At 37.0% G+C, this 27,921-nt stretch overlaps 1 protein-coding gene across 42 annotated transcripts in view; it reads left to right on the top strand.

Moving 5' to 3' along the window:
* The window catches only part of SLCO1A2 (solute carrier organic anion transporter family member 1A2), a 155,035-nt gene that overhangs the window by 99,758 nt on the left and 27,356 nt on the right, over positions 1–27,921 (top strand). For 17 of the 42 annotated variants that reach the window (NR_170340.1, NM_001386881.1, XM_011520819.2 and 14 more), the window contains 10 exons: positions 954–1,095; positions 5,196–5,328; positions 12,889–12,995; positions 15,304–15,450; positions 18,608–18,706; positions 19,308–19,529; positions 22,309–22,473; positions 24,085–24,280; positions 25,767–25,932; positions 27,541–27,713. Coding sequence is in view for 39 of the 42 variants with exons in the window: in NM_001386881.1 (NP_001373810.1) it covers positions 954–1,095; positions 5,196–5,328; positions 12,889–12,995; positions 15,304–15,450; positions 18,608–18,706; positions 19,308–19,529; positions 22,309–22,473; positions 24,085–24,280; positions 25,767–25,932; positions 27,541–27,713 (1,550 nt within the window). In the remaining 3 variants the exon portion in view is untranslated. Of the gene's footprint in view, positions 1–20; positions 215–297; positions 506–953; positions 1,096–3,032; positions 3,088–5,195; positions 5,329–12,888; positions 12,996–15,303; positions 15,451–18,607; positions 18,707–19,307; positions 19,530–22,308; positions 22,474–24,084; positions 25,933–27,540; positions 27,714–27,921 lie in introns of all 42 variants that reach the window. The other 25 variants (NM_001386937.1, NM_001386939.1, NM_001386940.1 and 22 more) reach the window with 16 other exon arrangements.

Raw genomic sequence — 27,921 nt, 5'->3', positions numbered from 1 at the left:
TTAACTTTTCATATTTTCAGTAAAACCATAGTAGCTCCTGGTGATCACAGTGGTTCTATCTGTGAACTCATCCCTGATGTTGTTATGGATTGCATCAACCTCACTGTTTCCTGGAACTATACCAATAATAGGAAGTATGATTGATAAAACCTATGGAAATTTATAGTATATATATTAGGCAAGCAGTAAGGATAAACAGAAGCCAATGGTCCAGGTGAGCTGATTCTCCAAGGTTCAGGAAAGCTTCCCAAAATAAATGGAGTCTCATTTTTGTGTGGTCCTCCATTTACACTGCAGCTGAGAAACCCTGAAAATACTCTGTCCTGGGCTTATATGCCTTAGACACAACTGGGATTGCTGAGCTCAAGGGTTGCAGAGCATCCTACTATGGGAAGAATGAGGACATAACTCAGATTGTTCTGGATATTTCCCTCATTGCTGAGAATGCAGAATGTTTCTGACCAAGAATTGCAAGCAAGAACAGGAAAGAGTGGAGTCGGCCAAGGTAATCTGGGGACCTATTGTCCTGCAGAGAGAACTTAAGTATATTTGCTACCGAAATAATGTCTTTGTATAATTCTGCATTCTTTCTTTTCATTACAGTACATGTATGAATTCTTTTGTACTTTAGATATCATTGTAGCTCTGAAGACATGTTTAAGTTATCAGCTATGTATTACTTAGAATGACTGTTTGTTTCTATGTATGTACCAGTATGTTATACAATATTGAGGCTGCAACTGCCTACAAAATTAGTCTCACTTTGAGTTTTCAGAGAGAAATCACAGTATGACAGACAAAAGGAGCAGACTACACTTTACAGTTTCTTGCAAATTCAAAGGTTACTTAAGTTGGAGACAATCAGTCTTATGGTGGAAGGCATTTTGTCAACAGACGGCAAGTATACAATTTAAAAATAATTTTTTCTACGTTTTCTTATATTTTTTTCCTAGATGTTTCTGTTGGCAATAACATGTGCATTTGTATCCAAAACACTGTCTGGATCTTATATGAATTCCATGCTCACACAAATAGAGAGACAATTCAACATCCCAACATCTCTAGTTGGATTCATTAATGGAAGCTTTGAGATTGGTAATGAATTATTTTTGCATTTCTTCTTTTTGTATTTTGTCTTATCTGTGGAGCTAGTCTGAATTTTATTCTCCTTATTTGCTGTTTTAGGTCATTTAATCTGACCGAGTTATAAGTTTTCTAAAACTAACTGATTAGCTAAGCTTAGAATATGCTTGGAAATAATTCATTTAAATATTACCTCATATTAACACCTAAATATTGCCACATATCCTACCATTGTTCTTTTTATTCTAATAGTTTCTTAGTTATGTAGCATGAGTAGCAGAGTATTTACAGTATTTATATTTAAATATCATTTGATAACCCTAAGGGATACTAAGGGTTCCATCTTTGTATTTAGAAGATACAAAGGTAGAAGACCGCCGGGCGAGGTGGCTCATGCCTGTACTCCCAGCACTTTGGGAGGCGGAGATGGGTGGATCACGAGGTCAGGAGATCGAGACCATCCTGGCTAACATGGTGAAACCCCGTCTCTGCTAGAAATACAAACAAATTGGCCGGGTATGGTGGCGGGCGCCTGTAGTCCCAGCTACTTGGGAGGCTGAAGCAGGAGAATGGTGTGAACCCGAGAGGCGGAGCTTGCAGTGAGCTGAGATTGCCACTGCACTCCAGCCTGGGTGAGAGTGAGACTCCATCTCAAAAAAAAAAAAGAAAAGGTAGAAGACCTAGAAGATGTAGAAGATATTGTTGGAGATCAAGGAAATTGCCTTACAAATGAAAATGCAAATATTTTTCTGCTATTTGGTCTGGGAGGTTGACAATTTTTTTTTCTAAGTACAGAGAGAAGAAAAGACTGCTTTTATAGCTCTCTGAATTCATTTCAGAGGCAGCCTCTAGAGAAAAATAAAGTCTACTCATAGATTCTGATTTTTGTGGATGACTGGGAATATGTGACCATAGAGAGGGAGAATGGGGGAAAGGAAGATTTCTTCCATGAAAAAAGTTATATAGAAATATAAGTGTCACTCCTTTCTAGTTTTATAATAGCTTCCACTTTCTTCAAGGTGATAATTTCCTTTAATATAAATGTATTTAAAAAATCAGGATTGAGGAGAAGCAAAACTGAAACAAGTGATTCTTGATCTTGTCTACTAGTGTTCAACTCCTTTAGATCTTAGCCTGTATCACCTGTGTGCTGATCCCAGTGAGAGAGTTAGAACTAACTCCATGTATAGCCCACGAATTGACTCAGCTCATAATCTAACGGAAGGTAGAGATGCAGATAATAATAGTATTAATTGAATGAAGTAAGTTTGGTAGCATAGATATATACAAGGTCTTACAGGGACAGAAGAAACACAGACTCATTTAGGGAAGCCAGACTCTCGGAGGATAGCTAAAATTTTCTAGGAGAAGAAATGAGGTTAAGCAAGTGTGAAGAAAATTCCAGTAGAAAAAGCCTAAGAAGGATGCAGTGCAATAGCCTATGTGAGAAGCAACATTCAGCTTGATAATATTGGCTAGCCAAGATAAAGTTGGAAAGGATTAGGAATGTGAGCCTGCAGAAATGGGCAGGGGTGAGAAATGGGTTAATGAGAGCTTTGTGTGCCTGCTATGGCATTTACTTTTTAATTTTCTAGGTGAGGGAGTGTCACTGAGGATTGGAAGGGATTATTAACCTTTCTGTGCCCAGGACCCTTTTAGCATTCTAACACCATATGATCCCGGAGTAATAATTTTAATTGCATAAAAAAAACTATATGGGTGCAAAGGAAGCCAATTATATTGAAGTAGAATTATCAAAATATTAAAACAAATTTTTATATAGTAATATTTGTACTTTTAATCAACCCATTAAATTAAAAAGTTACTAATTTTAAAGTAATTATTGTGTCAATGTTTTGAATTGTTTGCAACAGCCATATTGTCATCTGAACATATCTGTAACTTCTATTGGTGACAATTGGTGACAAAGTTATATGTTCACATTGCAGTCATGTGAGTCTGAAGCACTGGGGAACTATCTGGGCTGGAGCTATTGATTAGCAAGTAAGTAGGCGTTTGCTAAAACTAGAGAGAGAATTTATGAGGTTATTCAGGGAGAGGATATAGGGTGATAATTACAATGGACAAAGAATAGATCTTGAGCTGCACAAACATTTAAGGCACAGGTAGAAGAAAAGGAGTCTATGTTAAGAGAAGGAATGGTCAGAGAAACAAGAGGGGGAACTAGGAGAAAATGGTATTATGAAAAACAAAGGAGTAGAAATTTGAAAAAAAAAAAAAGTATCAGCAGTGTGAAAAGCATTAGAAATATCCAGTTAGACAAGGATGAAGAACTATTCCCTGGGTTTCATAATATGGAGATAACTGATGATCTTTGCCAGGGCACTAACAAATTTAGACGCTAGGAAGCAGTGAAGGTAGGAGCGACGATAGGGGATTAGGGAGGGGGGAAAAGCGGAATCTATGAATATGGATGAATGTTCTGGGAAGTTTGGAGAGAAACTAGAGAATATGTGTAGGCTAAAGTCTAGTTGAGAGAGAGAGGCTTAAAATACATATGAGAGATTTTAATTACTAGAGTAAGTGGCTGAAGAAAATGGCAGTGCCCTGGTGATGTGTTTAGTGTTGGGTGGTCAGATGGGCACCACAACTTCTCAAACTGAAGGAACGTGGTAAGGCCATCAGGTGGAAAACTCAAATGCCTTCATGTTTGATTGCCCCAAATTTCTTGATAAAGTAGAATATATTAACAATTTCTACCACTAGTGGGTGGTGATAGGTAGCTTGAGGAGAATGATGATTAGAAATAGTGTGAAATTTACAAAAGGCAATAAACATATCACTTAGCTTATATTTCCCCAGTCAGTTTTACAGGCAACATTCTCCATACCTTTGAAAAAAATTACTTACCTTTTCCCATGCTTTCTCATTGCAATTATTTCCTGACAGAGCAAGGCAGTTTAAAACATGAACTCACTCTTACGTGAAGAAGGAAAGTTCTTCCTTTCTTCTCCTTTCAAAAAACAGATATGGATTTCAAACAATGGCCTCTGGAGACACTACCTGTAACACGGATGGGCTTGGTGATGAGATTTTAGAAAACTAGAGAGGTCAATGTGGCTGATATAGTTATTGCGGTGGGGCGCTCTCCATATAAAATAATGGACAAATGGACATATCTTCTACACACAAGGCAGACTAGAGAAAAATACAGGTGGAAAGAAAACTTTTCAAAATATACACCACTTAGAAAATTATTAACTCCTTGAGGAAAAAAAATTTTGAAATTTTTATAATCTTGAGTCATTGCAGAGGCATTCTTTATATATAGTGGGGGCAAGGTAGATATTATTTACTGAATTAAAAATGTATGGTTTGCAAAAAACTTATTCGTATATTTGTTTTTTTCAAATCTTTATTCCACACTCTTCAAGGATCTGTCCATCAGATGGGCCTTCCCCCATTAGTTTCTTTATTCTAAAGCTTCGTCCTAAGACATGCGGATACATTTTTCATTGCCATTTTTATTCCTCAAATCCAGACTCACTGAAGACTGAGTAGAAGTGGGGGTCTACTAATTTTTACTTCACTGCATTGTCTGATCTAGGGAAAGAAGTAGAAAAAAAATAGATCCCTGTCTTGGTCATGTTGACCAAAATGAAGATATTTTTAAACAATGAGTTACAAAACATTCAGCTACCTAAATTTGACTTTTGCTTCTCTTTCTGGGCATAGGAAAACATGATAATGTTCTGTGGAGTAGGCATTGAGAGAGAGGCCAGAGGTCACATGCAGGCTGACACCTTCTTTTGAACCTCATTTCCCAAGTCTAGATAGTCACAAATAGAGCCTTCCAAATTTCCCAGAACCATTCTTTAGTCCCTTTCACCGGCTTCTCTTCTTCTCCCCTCTGTAAATGTTGGTGTTTCAGAGATATCTGTTTCTGTATCTGTCTACATTGCAAAACAGAACCCTTCTTCGGGGCAGGGATTGTGTTATATTCATTTATTATTTAATGCAACCCTAGCACAAATCCAAGTATTTAAGATAGTTGTTATGCAGTAAATGCTAGAATGTAAATGATTGGGTGAGGCTCTTAATTAAGACTTTGTTCATACTTTTTAAAATGATTATTCTCAATTTTTTCCTAGGAAATCTTTTGTTGATTATATTTGTGAGTTATTTTGGAACCAAACTGCATAGACCTATAATGATTGGCATTGGATGTGTGGTTATGGGCTTAGGCTGTTTCTTAAAATCACTACCTCATTTCCTCATGAACCAGTAAGTACTCCAGTCTGATAATTTTGGGTGGTCAAATTTCACTTGCAGGAAATGAAGTTGCACTTTCCTCTCTAGGAGCAATGCTTTCCAACAGCATAGGGCACTGTAATGGGAAGGGGAAGATGCACATTCTGTTCCATCTGTCTATTTGGTGCTCTTGGCTGCCTCACTTCCACTTAAGCAGTCAGTTTTGTCAATTTACACAATGGGGATTTGGGACCTTTTCTTGTGGAGTTGAGTCTGGTGAAAAGATTCTCAGGACCAGCCGAAACTTGGGATTATTCCCTTCTCAGGACCATGTAAATACTTCTAATTAATAATGAGATTCTGCTTAATTGCAGATCACCAAGAGACAGAGCAGTCTGAAGGCTGATTTTTCTTTTAATTTTTACCAAAGTAACTATGTACAAAGTCATAAAAATAAAAACTATTACAAAAAAGCTTACATTGACAAAAAGGTCTCCCTTGTCACTTATTACTGCTTTCCAGAGGCAAGTGCTTATAACTTTTAGCTCTTTCTTGTATTTGCCACCAATTTCTTTCTTTTTTTTCTGTTTTTTTTTTTTATTATTTATTATTATTTTTTTGAGACAGTCTTGCTCTGTCACCTAGGCTGGAGTGCAGTGGTGTGATCTCGGGTCACTGCAACCTCCACCTCCCAGGTTCAAGCAACTCTCCTGTCTCAAGCCTCCTGAGTAGCTGGGACTACAGGTACCATGCCTGGCTAATTTTTTGCATTTTTAGTAGAGACGGGGTTTCACTGTGTTAGCCAGGATGGTCTCGATCTCCTAACCTCGTGACCCGCCCGCCTCGGCCTCTGTTTTTATTTTTGTTGAGACAGTCTCACTCACTCTGTCGCCCAGGCTGGAGTGCAGTGGCGCCATCTCCCGGTTCACTGAAACCTCTGCCTCCTGGGTCAAGTGATTCTCCTGCCTCAGCCTCCCGAGTAGCTGGGATTATAGGTGCATGCCACTACACTCAGTTAATTTTTGTATTTTTAGTAGAGATGGGGTTTCCCCAAGTTGGCCAGGCTGGTCTGGAACCCCTGGGTTCAAGCAATCCGCCCACCTCGGCCTCTCAAAGTGCGGGATTACAGGCATGAGCCACCTGGCCAAGCCTTGCCTCTGTATTTCTAACTAAATGTTATTCTATTAGTTTTGAATCCTGGCATACCCTGCTTTACTGCATTTCACTTTATTGCACTTTGCAGATATTACATTTCTCACAAATTGAAGGTTTATTGCAACCCTACGTTGAAGATTAGAATCATTTTTCCAACAGCATGTGCTCACTTTGTGTCTGGGTCATATTTGATAATTATTGCAATATTTCAAACTTTTGCATTATTTTTGTATCTGTTATGGCGATCTGTGATTAGTGATCATTGATATTACTAATGTAATTGTTTTGATGTGCCACTAACTTATGCCCATTTAAGATGGTGATTTATTTATTTATGTATTTCTTTTTAGAGATACAGTGACGCCCAAGGTGGGGTGTAGTGGTGCGATCTCACTCACTGTAGCTTTGACCTCCACAGGCTCAGGTGATCCTCTCACTTCAGCCTCTCCAGTGGCTGAAACTACAGGCATGTGCCACTATGCCTGGCTAATTTTTGTATATATATATATTTTTTTGGTAGAGACAGGATTTCACCATATTGCCCTGGCTGGTCCTGAACTCCTGGGTTCAAGCAATGCGCCTGCCTCAGACTCTCAAAATGTTGGGATTACAGGTGTGAGCCACCGTGCTGGTCTTAAGATGGTGAATGTAATCAACAAATGTTGTGTGTGTTCTGACTGCTCCACTGACCAGCCATTGCCCCATTTTTTGCCCTTTCCTTGGGCCCCCTTATTCCCCTAGATACAAAAATATTGAAATTAGGCCAATTATTATAATAACCCTATTGTGGCCTTCAGGTGTTGAAGTGAAAGAAAGAGTTGCACATTTCTCACTTTAAATCAAAAGCTAGAAATCATTAAGCTCAGCGAGGAGGGCAAGTTGAAATTCAGAATAGGCCCAAAGCTAAGCCACTTGCACCAAATAGCCAAGCTGTGAACACAAGGAAAAAGTGCTATTTCAAGGAAGACACAAATGATTAGAAAGTGAAACAGTGTTATTGCTGAGATGGAGAAAGTTTGAGTAGTCTGAACAGAAGATTAAGCCAGCCACAACATTCCCTTGAGCCAGAAGAGCAAGACTCTCTCTTCTATTCTACGAAAGTTAAGAGAGATTAGGAAGCTGCAGAAGGAAATTTTTAAGCCAAGAGAGGTGGGTTCATGAGGTTTAAGGAAAGAAGCTGTCTTTATAACATAAAAGTGCAAGGTGAAGCAGCAAGTGCTGATGGAGAAGCTGCAGCAAGTTATCCAGAAGATCTAGCTAAGTTAATTGATGAAGGTGGCTACACTAAATAACAGATTTTCAATGTGGATGAAACAGCCTTCTTCTTCTTCTCCTTCCTCCTCCTCCTCTTCTTCTTCCTCTTCTTCTTCTCCTCCTCTTCTTCTTCCTCTTCTTCTTCTCCTCCTCCCTCCTCCTCTTCTTCTCCTCCTCCTCCTCTTCCTCCTCCTCCTCCTTCTTCTTCTCCTTCTCATTCTCCCTCTCCTTCTTCTTTCTTCTTTTTGAGATGGAGTCTCATGCTGTTGCTCAGGCTCGAGTGCAGTGGCGTGATCTCAGCTCACTGCAACCTTTGACTCCTGGGTTGAAGCAATTCTCCTGCCTCAGCCTCCCAAGTAGCTGGGATCACAGGCACCTACCACCACGCCCAGTTAATTTTTGTATTTTTTGTAGTGACGGAGTTTCACCATGTTGGTCAGGCTGGTCTCAAACTTCAGACCTCAGGTGATCTGTCTGCCTCGGCCTCCCGAAGTGGAAACAGCCTTCTTTTGAAAGAAGATGCCATCTCGGACTTTCAGAGATAGGGAGGAGAAGTCTTTTCAAAATATTACTGCTAATTGACAATGCATCTAGTTGCCCAGGAGCTCTGATGGAGATGTACATGGAGATGAATGTTGTTTTCATGCCTGCTAACACAACATCCATTGTGTGGCCACAAATCAGGAGTAACTTGGACTTTCAAGTCTTATTATGTAAGACACACAGTTTGTAAGGATATTGCTGTTATAAATAGTGATTCTTCTGATGGATCTAAGTAACATAAATTGAAAACCTTCTCGAAAGAATTCACTATTCTACATTCCACTAGGAAAAGGAGAGGAGGGCAAAATCTCAACATTAACAGGAATTTTGAAAAGTTGACTCAAATCCTCTTAGATAACCCTGAGGGGTTCAAGATTTCAGTGAACAAAGTCACAAGACTTTAGTGGAGGAAGTCACTGCAGATGTGGAAAGAGAAAGAGAACTAGAATTTAAGATGGAACCTGAAGATGTGACTTAATTGCTGCAATCTCATAATAAAACTTGAATAAATGAAGACTTTCTGTTTATGGACAAGCAAATAATGTGGCTTCCTGTGATGGAATCTACTACTGATGAAGAGCCTGTGAAAACTGTTGAAATGACAACTAATGTTTTAGAACATTACACAAAGTTAGGTGATAAGGCAGCAGTAGGGCTTGCAAGGATTGACTCCAATTTTGGAAGAAGTTCTACTGTGGGTAAAATGCTATCAAACAGCATTATGTGCGGCTGGGCGCGGTGGCTCACGCCTATAATCCTAGCACTTTGAAAGGCCAAGGCGGGCGGATCACGAGGTCAGGAGATCAAGACCATCCTGGCTAACACGGTGAAACCCCGTCTCTACTAAAAACACAAAAAAATGAGCCAGGCGTGGTGGTTGGCACCTGTAGTCCCAGCTACTCAGGAGGCTGAGGCAGGAGAATGGCGTGAACCCGGGAGGCAGAGCTTGCAGTGCGCCGAGATCGTGCCACTTGCACTCCAGCCTGGGCGACATAGCGAGACTCCGTCTCAAAAACAAACAACAACAACACAACAGCATTATGTGCTACAGAAAAAACTTTTGTGAAAGGAAGAGTCAATTGCCACAGGAAACTTCATCACTGTCTTATTTTAAGAAATTTCCACAGCCCCCACAACCTTCAGCAGCCGCTACCCTGATCAGCCAGCAGCCATCAGCGTGGAGGCTAAAGCCTCTACCAGCAGAAGATGATGACTCGCTGAAGGCTCAGATGATTGTTAGCATCTTTTAGCAATAAAACATTTTCAATTACTGTGTGTACATTGTGTTTCAGACATAATGCTATTGCACACTTAATAGGCTACAATATAGTGCAAACATAACTTTTATATGCATTAGAAAATTAAAAAAATTCATGTGAGTTGCTTTATTGTGTTATTCACTTTATTGTGGCAATCTGGAACCAAACGTGCAATGTCTCTGAGATATGTCTATACATTAGTGTTACACAATATGTATTGAATTCCTACTATAAAATCATTTTTACTATTTACATTTGTATAATTATGTAAATCTTTTTTACCACTGAACCATGCGCTTATCATTCTTTACTTATATAACTTTTTATTTTCCCTAGATTTAATAATTACCTCGTTATATCATATGGTTAGCTTTCTTTGTATTGTTCACGAATTCATCACCAAATTCTCCACTGGTAGGGCAAATGTCTCCTCAATATTCTTATCCATATCACAGTGTATTATTTTTGTCTTGGAGATTCCTCACATATCACTTTCAATTCTCCATCTGCAATCTGAACTTGGAATTCTCTAGGCCTGCTGCATTGCTATTTCCTTGGAATTTTCTCTCATTATTATCCTTGAGAATTTGCTTTTTACCTGTTTCATACATTCAGTTATTCATTTTCTGGGATGTCATGTCTCCTGCTTTCCTCTTTCCTCTTCACTTGTTTTTGTGAAGGAAATAATCTAGTAGCTTTCCAAGAAAGTATACAAGAGAAATATAAAATGTAAGACTTTGTATATCTGAAAATACTCCTATTTTACTCCCATATTTGATTGTTACTTTGGCTTGGATAAAATTCTAGATTGGAAATATTTTCCCTAGGGATTTTGAAGACATTTCCCCCAATGTTTTCTAGCTCTATCTAACACTTGTAATCAAGTGTTATTATTCAGAATCCTATGCCGTTCTAATCTCTGTGATCAGTTTTCTTTCAGTGGAAACTATTGGAATTTTCTTTTAAGCTCCAAGTCCAAAATTCATGATAATTGTCTTGGTATAAATCTGTCTCCTCCATTGTGCCAGGAGCCTTCAATCTGGACATTTGGAAAAGTTACTTTTGTTATTTCTTTGATAATATCTCCCCTATACCTTCTTTCATAACACTGTTTTCTCTTTCTAGATCTCTATTACTTGAATATTGGACATCCTGTATTAACCTTATGTTTTTCTCATCTTTTATCCCTACTTTTTTGTCCTCTTGTCTTCTTGTTACTTTCTGGGAGATTTAACTTTATTTTCCATGCCTTTGAATGGCTTTCTAGCTTATGCTACCACATTTTTAATTTTCAAGGGCTCTTATTCTTTGAATGTCCCTTTTTAAGGAACATACTATTCTTTCAAGAATGCATTATCTCTTCCCATCTAAATTTTGTTCATCTTTCTTCTTGGTCTCTGGCTCCTCCAAGTGTACCGTTTTTTTATTTGTTTGTAACTGTCTTTACTGTTACAGACTTCTCTCATATATCTGGTGGTTGTTTGTTATCTATTCACATTTAAGAGGGAGGAATAACAACAACAAGAAGCCAGCTGGAAGTTCTGTAAATATGTGTAGGACTTGGTTAAAGGAGGACTTCTTTGTAGAGTCATTACGCAGGGACTGGCTGTTTCGCACATGGCTCAGAATTGCAGATAACCTGTTATCCTAGACAGGAATTCTTCAATCTGTTCCTTGGGAGGTAGAAGCTTAGCTACCAGCCAAATGGAAGTTGGAATCTCACTGTTTAATATGTAGATATGTAGATTTTTTTAACTTAATACCCCCATTTTTTTTGTATTGCCTTTCTATGCTCAGTGTGCCTCTCCAGACTCTGGAGTCAATGAACATTTTCAGCTGGAGTGGCAGGGGATGTCTCTGGGAGTTGAATGTTTCTTAAACAAACTTTAAACCAAAATGTTTGCACTCTTATTGTTTTGGATCATACTCACTTTTGCATTTAAGTATCTTGCCTGAATGTTCCTGGGCTTTGCAGCATTGCTTCCTTGCAGGCACTTAGAGTTGCACTTCTCATATCTTTTATTTCAGTGACCACTCAGTTACCTGCTTTTCCATTTTGAAAATCTTGTTGAGCTCTCTTTTATTGTAAAATTCCCTATTTTTTTTATCCTTGTGGAATCATGCCTTTCCCCATTCTGTTTGAAAATCTATTTACCGTCATTTTGCTGATGCTTTGGGAATGAATAGACTTTGAGTTACTGGATTTTTAGTGGATAAATTAACAAAACATATTTTCTCTTTTAAAGTATTTTTGAAGGGATCAGAGTTTCTAAGCAGAGTCTTTCCTTTTCTTTTATTTCCTAGCCTATCCAAAACAATGTCAAGTAATATTCAGCCACTGTATACATTTCTTTCTACCACCTGCCAAAGGTGTTATTTCCTTGAGGTTGTCATGTCTCATAGGATTGTGAGTATGGAGACAGAAGCCTTTGTCTATAGTTCACAGCCAAACTCTTTGGGCATCAATGAGCAATTGTTCTAAGGGGAAGGTATTTTGAGCCTTTTTATTATATCCTATAGCACAGAAATTAAGACTATCAGTGGCATCCAAGCATAACACTCTAGCTTTTGTAGAACTCAGAAGGGCAAGTTTTCTTCTGACTACCTTATTTAATAGAAATACAGAAAACAATCCAGCATTATTTCTAACAAACAGAGACTTCACTGAACATACTTTGAACATACTTTTTTTCCCATCTTACGGCATGTAATTTACTTTCTGAGGAAAAGCATGTGGATCTTGTGGTAATTTGCTTAAATTAAATGGTCATAGTTTATTAATCCATTTGTTCTTATGAGAAGAGAAAAAGTCATTACATTATGTGTCATGGTGATTGAGATTCTCTTAAGGCCTCTCATTATGATGGACAAATATTTTGGTTTTTTTAGGGGTTTATGAAACGCATGGAGGAGTTATTGTACGGTTTCTCAGAAACTGGAGGTTTCGCTTCTTTTGAGCAAACTTTAGAGAATGCCAAGTTGAAGGCTTGTTTTGTTGTTATTCCTTCCAAAGCATTTATCTTCTTAATTATGCATTATTGAATGTCACATTTTTTAAAGTTTGTGTTCCTTATCTCATAATAATTATATCCAGGAAATGATAACCTAAAAATCAAAGAAAGTTGATATTTGATAATCTAAAGGTAGATCATCCACAGGCAGATTATTGAAAGCTAAGTATAAAAAGATTGTTCATTTACAGAAAGTGGCAAGTTTTTTGATGATATTAACTTATGATAACTTGGATGCCAAGGATGAAAAGCCATTTTTACTGGATTTGGATATTGTGTTGTATGGGAAGCAGAAGGTAACAATCTGCACATTGCCCACATTGTCCTCATTACTTTCTTAAAATAAACTCATTTTCCCTGTGTTTATACAGATATGAATATGAATCTACAGTTTCAGTTTCAGGCAACTTGTCCTCAAACAGTTTCTTGTGTATGGAAAATGGAACCCAGATTTTAAGACCAACGCAGGATCCATCAGGTTGTCTACTTCATTGTATTGATTTTTGTTCAGCGAACTTATAACTAAACACTTTCTGCTGAGGGGCTTGAATGAGATATTGATTGAGTTAGATAAATAAACAAAGATATGTTCTCTCTCCAGGAACTTCCAAAGGAGTTACAATGGGCAATAAGAATAGCTAATAATAAAGAATGTTATTTTTCTTATATTTGAATGTATTTATTGAGAGTTCCTTGTTTATTTATTAACATGTTATCTAAAAATGAGTCAAAGGGCCGGGTGCAGTGGCTCACGCCTGTAATCCCAGCACTTTGGGAGGCTGAGACGGATGGATCACCTGAGGTCAGGAGTTCGAGACCAGCCTGGCCAACATGGTGAAACCCCACCTCTATTAAAAAATACAAAAATTAGCCAAGCATGGTAGCGGGCACCTGTAATCCCAGCTACTCAGGAGGCCGAGGCTGGAGGATCGCTTAAACCCAGGTGGCAGAGGTTGCAGTGATCCAAGATTGCGCCATTGCACTCCAGCCTGGGCAACAGAGTGAGACTCTGTCTCAAAAAAAAAAAGAGTCAAAGACATCTATCCAAGGACCACTGTTAAGTTCATCCCACAGAGGAAAACATCTTATAAGGATGGATTTATGCTGATGATTTGGTGTATATGATTATGTAAATAGGAACTAGAGACAGAAACAAAGTTCAAGAGATTTGTGTTCTATCACTGATCTTTAATAGCGGGGAAAACAGGCAAGTACGCTATAGTTCTGAATTACTCTATTCCCTTTCTATTGACTTAGGAACTTGTCTTTCTGCTCTTTTTTTTTCCCCCTCTACTGGAGATAGTGCTTTAAAATTCTACACAATAGCAGTGCTTCTTTCAGCTTCTGGTAGCCCTAGGCACCAATGTACTGGCTTCTGCCCCTTCTGTCCCTTCTGCTAAGAGACTTGTATAATCTTCTGGTTATACTTGGTCTGGAGATGACTCTGATGACTCAACATTTTTATGGGGACATTTTTATTCTGGATTCATGTTTGTGGAAATTGCAGTAGTCCACAAGGGTGGGAATTTCATGACCATCATTGAGTCAGGAAACCAAAACAGTTTCAAAAATTTGAAAAATGTCTGTCTCAGAAGAAGCCAAAGAACCCCCATGGGGGAAACAAAGGAAAACAATGACATTAATAGTGGCCTGTGTTCTCTTCCTGAGCGGGCTATTGCCAAAGACTGACCCAGGTGCTAGTCGGCTTCATTGTGGATATAGCAAAACCTTCCCATTCTGGCACATCTCCAGGAAGGTGGATTGATGCTTTCAATTTTGCCCTAGAATAGGCCTAGAGTTTGCCTGTGATCTCTAGACACAAATCACTTTGTGCATCACACAAACAAATCTGAATACCTAGAAATAGAGACTATTATTTTCCGACTGGAAATAATGGAGAGATAGCACTCACAAGAAATTCCTGGACCCAGCTGTGGTCAGGACCTCACAGTCTCACCTGGCAAATTTATAGGAGGTGAGAGTGCATTGTCCTTCAGATCCCTGAAAACGGGACTCCACAGAGCTTCCTCACAGCTTACCAGCTATTTTGGCTTAGAACATAGATGGCAAAGAGATTTACAGAATCCTTCAGAGATCTCCCTATCTTTCTCAGTTTCTATTCCCTTTGGTCTAGTCTTTGTTACTCTACTAAGCAGCTGCGGCTCCAAGGATTGGAGTGGATTTCTGTATTGAAAGTTATTTGGTGGTTACAGTATACAACATGCTCTATAGAGAACCTATGATGATTACCCAATTAAATATTTTTAGTTTCTATGAAATAATTAGAGCTGTAGAGAATTCACACTTTAGCGAACTTTTGTTTAAATCTTATAAATATAGTACCAATTCTAGAGAAATATATTTTTGTCTCCCCAAAGTTGGGTAGGAATGGGGAAGCACTTGTAGCAGCTGAATGAGTCCAGGAGTTGTGGAGAAACTGAATCTCTTTGATTTTTAATGTTTGCCAATTTCTGTGGTGTAACACTGCTATGAAACTACCAATGAGGTGTCACTGAACACTGAGTTGGGAGGAGGTGTGTATACTCATCTCTCCCAACTCAGTAGGGACTGGCTCCAGCATATCACTTACACTTGTCCATACTCAAGTCCACTGTCAGAAAATGCACTAGGGGTGCCCTGAGAAGTCACTGCTGGAATAGTAATATAAATCATTGACAAGGGGCCATGGTCATATAACTGTGAAATGCCTACAGAAAACATAGAATTAATATTACTGACACTTTATCGTCAAAGCACTAATGTCATGTCTTTTTTTTTTAATGCAGAGTGTACAAAGGAAGTTAAATCATTAATGTGGGTGTACGTCCTAGTAGGCAATATTGTACGTGGAATGGGTGAAACTCCCATCCTGCCTTTGGGTATTTCCTATATAGAAGATTTTGCCAAATTTGAAAATTCTCCTTTATATATTGGTAAGTATGGAAATCTACCTTAGCTTCTTTTCAGGGCAATATGTTCCTTGAGGTTAGAAATTAGTTATATTTTTGTAGTCTTAGTGATTTCCACAATGATGAGTAGAGTATCTTGGCACAGTTGGCCTTCCATAAAAGTTTGTTGAATGGAGATGAGATATGCTAAATGACAATGAGCTACTTGGTTAATAAATCTACTTTCTACTATTGGAAATACCACAAGTCTAGTGCCCCTGGAGGTGACCCTTTCATCTGCTTGGCACTACACTACATCCAATCTGTTAAGAGATTTGCAAATGTTTTCTCTAAAATGTTCTGTGCATTCAAAACCTTTCTCGCTATTTTCACTACCTCTGTTTTTGTTGAGGTTCTCATTACTTTGTCTGTAGTTTCTCTTTATTATTTTCTCTTCAGAATTTTATTTTCTCAGTTTTTAAGAAACATTCTTGCAATATAATTTTTCTCAAGCATTGTTTTAATCATGTCTTCTCTACTATATTTATGACACATATAAGCTCCTCATTTATTAAATCTGATCTGTCCACTTATTACTCATGGCTCTGCATGACATTCACTTACTTAGTTTCTATACAGTTTCTCTTCTTAATGATCTCTCCATATAGTCAGGCTTCTTCATATTTTTCACAAATACGTCTTCATCTTTTTGTTTATGTTTCTTGAAATTACCATTTTAAAATCCATGTAGGTCACCTGGAACAATAGCCAACTTAAGACCCACCTTCTTGTGCTGCCTTCCAATCTCTGAAATATTCTTAATTTATTATGCACGACTTGCTTATATTTTTTGTTATTCTATCAATAGTTGGTCATAAACTCATAACGTTTAGTATAGGGACATTTTGCCATTAATGTATGTAGGCATATCTTTTAAAAACTAAAAAAGTCAAAGAGGGTGAGAGAAGATGGAAATGATTACACATAATCCAGATGGATGAAAATATTGAGGGATCATTAACCCAAGTGACTTTTCACACATTTTGGCAACTCATTAATTTTGCAATAATCTTTTTCAGTGATTTTCTATTCAGTCCTTTTAACTTCCTTCACAAACTTATATTAAAAGAATGCAAACACTCTCCTACAATAAATTAACAAACACCTTGCTATGACATCTGTTTCTTTATTCAACAAATACTATGGTGTATTATATGTAAATGTAGCTGTGATAATCTCTATACATATTAAAATGAGGATGATGTGGTCCATACAAGGTTAGTAAATAAAGAACTACATAATTATTAGTACTATATATATGTAGTGTGTATATATATGTATATACATATATAGTGTGTGTTCATGTGTGTATCCATAACCAAATAACTATAAATCAAATAGCTCTACACCAAGAAAACAGTTCCATATGGCTCTGGAGTTTAGAAGAGAATATAAAAGCTAGGTTAAAAGTTGGAAAATTGACCAGGTGTGGTGGCTCATGCCTGTAATCCCAGCACTTTGGGAGGCTGAGGCGGACAAATCATCTGCAGTCAGGAGTTCGAGACCAGCCTGATCAATATGATGAAACCCCGTCTCTACTAAAAACACAAAAATTAGCCGAGTGTGGTGGTATGCGCCTGTAATCCCAGCTACTCAGGAGGCTGAGGCAGGCAGATCATCTGAGTTCAGGAGTTCGAGACCAGCCTGTCCAATATGATAAAACCCCATCTCTACTAAAAGTACAAAAATTGGCCAGGTGTGGTGGCATGTGCCTATAATCCCAGCTACTCAGTAGGCTGAGACAGGAGAATCACTTGAACCCGGGAGGTGGATCACTTGAACCCGGGAGGTGGAGGTTGCAGTGAGCACTCCAGCCTGAGCAATAAGAGTGAAACTCCATCTCAAAAAAAAAAAAATGGAGAGGTAATAAATGAAATCAAGAGGGAGAAATAAGGTTGCTGTGGAAGAACATATATATACTGAGAGATATTAGGATAAAATACTGGGAAAGACTTTTACTTAGTAAATAGAATAGGAGAAAGGAAAATCAAAGAAGGAATAGTCATAAGAACACAATGAAACAATACATGTATAGTTTAATGAAACTCTCAGGAAGAAATGTAAAAAGAGGAGTTGGCCAGCAATGTCAAATAACCTAGAAAGCTAGGAAGATGAAGACCAAAAAAAGACACTAAATTAGTGACAAAGAGATCACTGGGGCTACCTGAGAGTATTTGGAGGAGAATGTAAAAGGATTTGAGTAAAGTGAGTGAGAGGTGAGGAAGTAGAGGCAGAGAGTATAGTGAAAGGAGAGAAAGCAGGGTGGATTTGAGATTTTGTAGAATCATTGGCTACGGGGAAATTGAACGCGCACAAGAGAGGGAGTATTTGGTAGAGCAAAACCTTAGAGAAGATAGAAGGGGTTGGAACCAAGAAGTTAGGTGTGTATAGGGCGGGTTCTCCAAGAACCATGGAGAAGGCAGAGATAATAGGCAAAGCCAAATTTTGAAGTGAACAGGAAGAAAGTTGAAGAAGCTCGTGTCTGGATTTTCAGAGATCAGGGAGGGTTCAGCATAGGTTCTGAATTGTAGACAAGTGATGAGACAGCTGATGATGAAATTTTAATGGATAAGAATTCAAGTGAAGACAGATAGGACTGATGGACATGGAAAATAAAACTGTGGAAGTAAAGGAAGGAGAACATGATAAAATCAAAGACTTGTATCATATAATAATAATGAGGACATAGCCAGAAGGAAGTTTCAAGTTGCAGATCTGAGAGTGAAACTTTTTTGAGGAATGTGCCATGAGAAATCCACTATAAGATGGTATTGCTTTAGAATTCCTCCCAAAACATGCCTGTGGGATGAATTAACAGGACCTTGGTTATATCACGACCTAGTCAATGGCATGATCCCAGCTGGGACTGCCTGTGCTGTTACAGCAAATCTCTACCTGTGACCCAGCATGAAAGGGAATTTGGAGGCCAGGGAAAGTGGCTTTAAATTATGAGGCTTCTTTTTCAACATTTACAGAAACAACCATCATTTATATGTACATCAAGCTTAACTTCATATAAATTGTGTATCTAGTCAAAAGTATCCAAGGCAAAAATATTCAATCTTCAGGCTTTTCATAGACCTAGAACTCTTTATGTGGGCATATAACTGTACTATAACCTTATACTTTTATTTATTTTTAGGGCTTGTAGAAACAGGAGCTATTATTGGTCCTTTGATTGGACTTTTGTTGGCATCATTCTGTGCAAATGTTTATGTTGACACTGGATTTGTGAACACAGGTAATTCAATAAAATCTATTTGTACAGTGTCTAGACTATACAAAGCATCTCAGGTATGTTATCATATATAATCATGGCCTTACTTGACCTTCAATTTGATAAATGATCTCTACTTTAAAAGTGAGAAACTCTAGTGGAGGAATTTAAATAACTTTTAAAATATTCCAAACCAGAAAGCAGTAGTGCAAAATAAAATGCTAATCTGACACAGAATCACATGCTATTTCTAGTGCACTTCAACTATATTTCTTGGTTTTACAAAATTTAAGCATGTAGGTTTGAATTTATTTCAATTAAGCAATCATTTGTTGATGATGAAATAGAACTTTAAGCAATCATTTGTTGATGATGAAATAGAACTTGTAGCTGTTTAGTTAATACCTGCTTTTAAATCCCTTACATGATAGACAGATAACCAGCCTAATTTATTACTAGACAATATTACAACACCACATATTATTAGAAAAATTTTATCAGTGTCTGAATTATAAGCCAATTTTATAGTTGGTTGGGACCCGATAATTCTAATTTTAATAATTTTCTATAGTTCATACAGAAAATACTGACTTAAGCTAATAACAGTGTGTGTATTTTTTTACAGATGATCTGATCATAACTCCCACTGACACTCGTTGGGTCGGTGCATGGTGGTTTGGCTTTCTGATTTGTGCAGGAGTTAACGTGCTCACTGCCATTCCTTTTTTCTTTTTGCCCAACACACTTCCAAAGGAAGGACTAGAGACTAATGCTGACATCATTAAAAATGAAAATGAAGACAAACAAAAAGAAGAGGTCAAGAAGGAAAAATATGGAATCACTAAAGGCAAATATACATATTCTAAATACTATGAAATTGACCTTTTATTTCATATAGATATGTCTGTATTTTAGTCTAACACTATGATATGCTATGCTGTGTTGAGACAATTTGTCATCAACAGTCACCAGTCAAGAATACCTAACTAGTCCGATTCTTCCTATGGTACTACTTGAAAATAAATATTATAATTTGGAAGCTGAAATATTTCAGATCAGCATTTGTGTAAACTTTTATGTCAGTCTTGGCACTCTCCTCTCTCTCTCTCTTTCATATATATATACACACACATATATATGTACACACACATATATATATACACACATATATACACATATATATGTACACACACATATATCTACACACATATATACACATATATATGTACACACACACATATATATATGAGAGAGAGGAGAGAGAGGGTCATGTATATATATACACACACGTATATATATATATACACGTATATATATATACACACACGTATATATATATACACGTATATATATACACATATATGTGTGTGTATATGTGTGTGTGTATATATATACGTGTGTGTGTATATATATATATATATATACACACGTATATATATGGTCCCATTTGCTCAAAAAACCGATTTTACAGAGAACATAGGTTGAATTGAAACAAAATGAACAAGCAAATTTAAACTAAGAACAAAAGTAGGAAAAAGTATACTCTAATCTTAATAGGTAGTATAGTTTTGTAACCAGTGTGTTAGTTTAACGAAGAGCTTCCTGGAAGTTAAATCAGAAAGAAAAAAAAAAACATGATCGGTGACCCACCTCTCTATACTTGGTAGAGGGAAGAATAATAATTTTTAAACAGAAGCAGTTCTCCAAGGAAGAAATTGTAAAAAAATTTAAAAATGATCATAAGATACATGATACAGGTAATATTGAGCCACATAGTGGTTTTCCAGCAAATGAAAGGGTAAATTGCATGTAACATTTTTTTTGGTACAGAACCTCAATAAAAGCTCAAAGTATAATTTACAGAAGGTTTTTCTGTGGGAAACTAAACTAAGATAGCCTAAGTATTTAGTACTCAAGAGCACTGATGCTCAAACTTGGCTGCACATTGGAATCACCTAGGAAATTTTAAAAATGATTGATGCCTGAAAGTTCTGTAGTATTCCCAAAAGGTCAGATTTAATTAGTGTGGATGTGCAGCCTGGCTATTGGAACTTAAAAATGTTTATTTGACGGATGGTGAGGGTCTCAGTTTTCTGTCAAATGGGGATAATAATAGTACTTACTATAGAATTGTTGTGTGAAGGTAAAAGACATTCTAGCACACATTATTATTAATACTGATACTAGTGTTAGTACTTTTATGTTGTCATTGTTGTTTCTATCATCACCCATAAGTTACAATGTCAATTTGCATAGAATTTTTCTTAACAATTGTAAATTCTCTTAAATCATAATTGAGCATAATTTAATACATCTTTGGTCATTAGGAGCCAACTCAGAATCTTGCAAATTCTCAGAATCATTCTGATGATATTAAAAACTCTTCTTAAAGGATTGTTATGGACTGATAGACCTCTTGCAGTCTGCAAGATCAGTTCCATTTTCAAAATTAGGAAAGAGCTTAGCTTGTTGCAAGACATAGAAAAGAAACTTGTGCTACTGAAACTCATCTATTAGGACAGGGATGTCAACAAACATGGGTGACTTAAAAATCTTCAGATAACTCTCTCTCCTGTCAGGTACCCTATTCATAAATATAAATTTTACAATTATAACTCATTTACTTGCATTAATCTGTGTGTCCTCCTCTTCTAAATTGTTTATTTATTGAAATTTTGTTCCAGAATGAATTGTGAGCAGTTTATTAAGCAAACCAAGATTGTGCATAAGAAAGTCAAGACAGAGAACATGTGGACAGGAAAAGTGAAAGGAAATTAAAAGTGAGAACTTGAGCCTGAATGGTAGCAGTGTGACCAAGAACATTTACTAGAAGCAGGCCACACATTACTAGAGGCAGGCCACACATTACTAGAAGCAGGCCAAACATTACTAGAGGCAGGCCACACATTTGGCTCTGTGCTTTTTCTAACAGGAATCATTTTTGATTAAATCATTTACATAGTCCTTAGAATGTACCAAATGAATCAGCATCTCTGAGGATGGGACCTGGATGTTGGTATTTTAAAAAATATCTCCAGGTAGATCTTGCTGAGAACCAATGGCAGAACCACTGAAACTGTTGTTCTGAAGAAGCAAAAAAAAATTCCGGATACTTGAGAACATTCATATCTCATTAATTCCCACACATCTTTATTTCAAATGTTCAGGGAGTGATAAAATAAATATTTGTGTGAAATCTTCTTTATCAACTCGATTTTCCTCCAGACTTTACAGAACAGAACAAGCATCTTTCATTCTAATGAGCTGTAGAAAAAAGAATATATTAATAGAAGAACAAAAGGTTAGTAATAAAATGCTGTGGACGTAGACAATATTTTGGTCACTTTGTAGTTTTGCTTACTGATCTTTAAGACTCAACAGTGACTTATTGAGGGCAAAACTGTTGTGTTCTGATCCCTACCCAGTCAGCTACATCACTGACTTCCAGAAGCCACCAAAACATTGCTATGACTTCAGCTTTCAAGGGGAAAAAAGAATTAGCAAACAATACATATTACAAAATAGTAAAAAACATAATTTGTTGAGGAGGTGGATGTTTCAGGAAAAGCCAGTCACAAAATGCAAAGCCAAGTTCGTTTGACACAGTTGTCATTCTTTCATTTCAGATTTTCTACCTTTCATGAAAAGTCTTTCCTGCAATCCAATTTATATGCTTTTCATACTTGTAAGTGTGATACAGTTCAATGCATTCGTTAACATGATCTCCTTCATGCCTAAATACCTAGAACAGCAATATGGAATATCATCTTCAGATGCAATCTTTCTAATGGGTATGTTTGTTTTTCTCTGCCTTACTAGCACACTTTCCCCCCCACGAACAGTGTGATGGCGGGTGTAGCAAACTCCTAAGTTGAAGTGTTTTAGGATATTTTTTGACTCTGGTGGATTTCTTCCTTCTAATCTCAAGAAAGAAAGAAAGAAAGAGAAAGAAAGAAAGAAAGAAGGAAGGAAAGAAGGAAGGAAAGAAGGAAAGAAAGAAAGGGTAGGGAAGGGAAGAGGTCAGAAATACCTTGATTTTCTTCTCTCTGAAGTCAGAATGTGAATTCATAATATGAATGCAAATATTTGGGAGTGCAAAAATTACATATTTTCAGATAGGATTGTGCATTTTACTACCAAATTTTACTCTTTTTGGTTCCAGTTCAAGGATTCTATGTTCCTCCTAATTTAATTTTTTGGTCCCCCTAGTGGTTTTAGGTGTCTCTGCAGCCACACACATTCGGCTTTTCCTGCAACCACACTAACCTCAGTGGTTTTAGCCTAACTTGGGTTTTTCCTGGGATCTTTCCACTGTTTTTAAAAGTCAATATCCCAGGCTACTTGTATCCACACTACCTAAAGTGCTTGTGAAAGCTTCAAATACCTGGGGTTCCCCCTCAGACACACTGAATCAGACTCTAGGGCGTGGGGCTCTGGAATGGATTTTTAACAAGCTCTCTCAATAATATGATTCGGGGAGCCAGATGCTCACATTGTATAGATGGAACCTAGGGCTATCTTCTCCTTTTTCTATTCTTTTTTTTCACTTATTGGGAAGGGTTCAGAGAGGAAGAGCCAGTAGCAGCAAGACATGAAATGTAAATACACTTGACAGCAACAGGCTCAGCAAAGTGACTCTCTAAAGTACCTTGAACTGGGTGTGGTGGCTCATGCCTTTAATTCCAGCACTTTGGGATGCTGAGGAGTGAGGATCACTTGAGGCCAGGAGTTCAAGACCAGCCTGGACAACATAGCAAGACTTTGTCTCTGCAATTTTTGTTTTTAAATTAGCCAGGTGTGGTGTTGTGCACCTGTAGTCCCAGCTACTTAGAGGGCTGAGGTGGGAGCATCTCTTAAGCCCAGGAAGCTGAGGCTCCAGTCAGCTATGATCATATCACTGCACTCCAGCCTGGGCAATAAAGCAAGATTCTGTCTCTAAAAAAAGAAAAGAAAAAGCACTTTGAGAGGAGTCTAATTCTTCACAACCAAAGTGAGGATAGGTAACTGAAAAATTGTATATATATATTCTCACTACACAGAATAGAGGGTAATAAATGAATAAATTACTGGCCAATTTTGACTTGCCACTTCTACCTGGATCCTAAGAAAAGAGATTTTTATCATGATCTCTGCCTATAAGAAATTCACAAGCTACTGCAATGAGTTAAATGAATGATAATATAATAACAAGAGTCTCCCAAAATATACTTCCCCATTATGGGGGCATTTCAAAATCTCCCTGTGGGTAATGTGTAACTAAGTGGGGATAAAATTAAATCATTCTTCTTCACTATGAGTTGGACCTAAATAGTTACTTATATAAGGCATATTACATAAAAGTGATAACATATTTGTTCCTTTGGTAAGTCATTTTGTAAATAATATTTTATTTGCATTTATAGGTATTTATAACTTACCTCCAATATGTATTGGATATATAATTGGTGGTTTAATTATGAAGAAGTTCAAGATTACTGTCAAACAAGCTGCCCACATAGGATGTTGGTTATCCTTACTTGAGTATCTTCTCTATTTTTTATCTTTTCTCATGACTTGTGAAAATTCTTCAGTTGTTGGAATAAATACCTCTTATGAAGGGTATGTTGTTTTCTAATGAATGTGAGAATCTTTCAACAAATGGTTAATATGATATTTTTTACAATGGCAATGCACGATCAGATCATTTTCTTATTGGAGTTAATGATAGTAATCCATGCTTTTCCTGTATCTTTCCTCCATCTGTCAATCAAGCCAATCTATCCAAGCTCTAGGCTTATTAATGAGGTTGGGAACATATCACAGGGTGAGTGAATTTATGATTGTATGTGCATGTGGGTGTGTGTGCATGATTGTCTTTGTGATATCCGAGTAGACATTATCCTATGAAAGAAACTACCTACAGTTTCAGGTTGTATTAAAATATGTTATCCATATATCTTATACTCCCATAACTGAGTAAAACTAAGAGTTGATTATACAGTCAAAATGGCCTTTATATGTTTCCCCAATGGGCTTAAGTTTGGCATAACTAAATCATAATACATGATAAATTAATTAATACATAATTCATATATTTCATTTATATTGCTATGTCTAAAATATTGAATCATTTCATATTTTGTATTTTAAAGGTTATCTGGGTTTTACTGAAATGTTTTCCATAGTGATGTACATTAAAAGAATTCACCTGTAGGGCGTATTTTGACAATCAAGCTATCAGTTAAAATGAAATAAAGAACATCCTAAAATGTTTTTTCAAAATTATCAAGGTTTATTAGATTGAAATAATTTCAAATGTAAAATAGTAATATAATTTTACATATGCTATTTGATTTGAGACTCATGAGCTTCATCTAAGATAAGCATTATTATCTCCACTTTACAGATTAAATTGAGATTCAGAGAAATTTAATGATAAAAGCAGTTCATTTCAAATCTCTTCAACTACATCAATATAGAAATGGATTTTAAAATTGGAATAAATTTTAAAGATTGCCTCCATCTCCAATGATGCTGATTCCCAGACAGAATGTGTAGAAAGTCGCACTGTGATCTAGTCTGAATGCAGTCTCTAAACTGCTATGCAAGTGCTCTTTCAATCATATTACAAGCACTGGTCACTTTTTATATTAGTAGAATGCACTTCTTTAATTCAAATACCTATGTTTCTGGAGCTAAATGTATTATCTATATTACAAATGGAACTTTCAGATTTTTATCTTCATGCTAGTCCTGTCTTGCTATTTGCTACCTAATGGATGAATCACAGAGATTAGTTCATCTTCATCTTTCGAGATCTAATAGTATGTGAAAACATGACTCCACATGGTAGGTGCTCAATTAATGCTTGTTTATTGCCTATATATTCTTCTGAGATAAATCATTGAAGGAGTGGCTATGTGGTCATCAAAGCAGGTCTCTTTTATACCAAAGCTATAGTAAACAGGTCACACATTGATGACTGGAAAATTTCTCTTTCTATTCATGGGAGGAGAGGAAATCTAACTGGGGATTGAGATGAAAAGAAGAAAAAAAGGATTGAATCCTCTTTTAATATCTATGGCATTATTTTAAATCACTTCAGAATTCCACAAGATTTATATGTGGAAAATGACATCTTTGCTGATTGCAATGTGGATTGCAACTGTCCATCTAAAATATGGGATCCTGTGTGTGGAAACAATGGCTTGTCATATCTGTCAGCTTGTCTTGCTGGTTGTGAGACATCCATTGGAACGGGAATAAACATGGTAAGACATCCTATTTGACAGAACTTTTTTGAGTTGCATTGGTACTTCCCAACTATGAACTGGGCCTATATTTAATAAAAGTAAAATTAGTGTTTCCTCAAAACCATATTACTTTTTTTGTATGTGGAAAAATAACTCTATGATGGTCACTTGATTACCTTTTATTTCCCAGATCTTATGTGAAACCTCCATAGCATCTGACCAGTGATCTGAAATTTCCAAGAAGTTTATATTATTACTCAAATAATTTGGGTTGTAAATACTCTGGACTAAAAAAATTTTATCATTGAAATAAAGTTGGTGGTTTTGATTTCAATTGTCCAGCTAATTGCTTTGCTATATATATATACATATATATATACACACATATATATATATTTTTCTGTGTATATGTATGGATGTGCTTTCTGTGTTTTTCACATTCTGACAGTTCTTTGAGAATTTAGAATTAGGAATGTTCTCTTGCCTCTAAGATATCACAATATAATATAACATCAATTGTAATATTAATATAACGTTGGTTGGTGATCAAAGTAAACTATAAATTTTGATTCTTATTAAGACCTGGAAACATGTAACAATTCAAAAAAGGTTGACAATTCTTTTTTTGAAAGAAACTATTTCTTTTCTTTTCTTTTTTTTGAGATGGAGTCTCACTCTGTCGCCTAAGCTGGAGTGCAGTGGCATGATCTCGGCTCACTGCAACCTCCACCTCCCAGGTATAAACGATTCTCCTGCCTCAGCCTCCTGAGTAGCTAGGATGACAGGCACATGCCACCATGCCCGGGTAATTTTTGTATTTTTAGTAGAGACGGGATTTCACCATGTTGGTCAGGCTGGTCTCGAACTCCTGACCTTGTGATCCGCCTGCCTTGGCCCCCCAAAGTGCTGGGATTACAGGCGTAAGCCACTGCGCCCTGCTGAAATAAACTATTCCTTTGAAGCAAAGCTTTATTTGTAAGCATCTAAATATTTCAGTTGAGCACTCTGAAACAGATTTTGTTTGTCCAATGTAGTGTTGTATCAAAACACTGTTTTAAAAAGTGTATTAGCTGGGCGCGGTGTCTCACACCTAGGAATCCCAGCACTTTGGAAGGCAGAGACCGGTGGATCATCTGAGGTCAGGAGTTCGAGACCAGTTGGCCAACATGGTGAAATCCATCTCTGCTAAAAATACAAAATGTAGCTGGGAATGGTGGCAGGCGCCTGTAGTCCCAGCTACCCCAGAGGCTAGGGCAGGAGAATCACTTGAACCTGGGAGGCAGAGGTTGTAGTGAGCCGAGATCGCACCACTGCACTCCAGCCTGGGCGACAGGGTGAGTCTCTGTTTCAAAAAAATAAATAAATAAATAAAATAATAAAAAAGTGTGTCTTTAGGGTAACTTATTAGTTATTACAAATTTACTATTCATATTTAGAAAAATATACCGTTTTTCTGAAATCACCCTTCCAGTTTTGTTATATGGTGTAATCTTGAGAGACATCATAATGGAGATGGAGTAAAGGGAACAAGCAGTCTCCATCTTGATCCAACTGGCTGTGTAGAAAATGTTTAAAATTTGTGTTCAAGATTTTTACTTCTTAGTATAATATGTTATTTTTTGGCAGGTGTTCCAAAATTGCAGCTGTATTCAAACATCAGGAAATTCATCTGCAGTTCTTGGGCTGTGCGACAAAGGACCTGACTGTTCCTTGATGCTCCAGTACTTCCTAATCTTGTCAGCGATGAGCAGTTTCATTTATTCTTTGGCTGCCATACCTGGATATATGGTTCTCTTGAGGTACAAAATTATTTTCTTTATTTATATTTTTTTGGGGTCATTTATTAAGGTAGCTTGTTCTAAGAAAGTCACTCAGGACTCAGTATCTAAGAACTCAGTGCTCTAACGTACCATTTATTAAGGGTTTTGTATTAAGCATTGTTGGATTTCACAAAATTTTAAAGTTAGCAATGCACATGTTCATCTGCTGGCATTTCACTCCTATTCC

The sequence above is a fragment of the Homo sapiens genome, chromosome 12 (genome assembly GCF_000001405.40).
Source record: "Homo sapiens chromosome 12, GRCh38.p14 Primary Assembly".
NCBI classification, from domain to species: Eukaryota; Metazoa; Chordata; class Mammalia; order Primates; family Hominidae; genus Homo; species Homo sapiens.
This window is presented reverse-complemented; position numbering and strand designations above follow the sequence as displayed.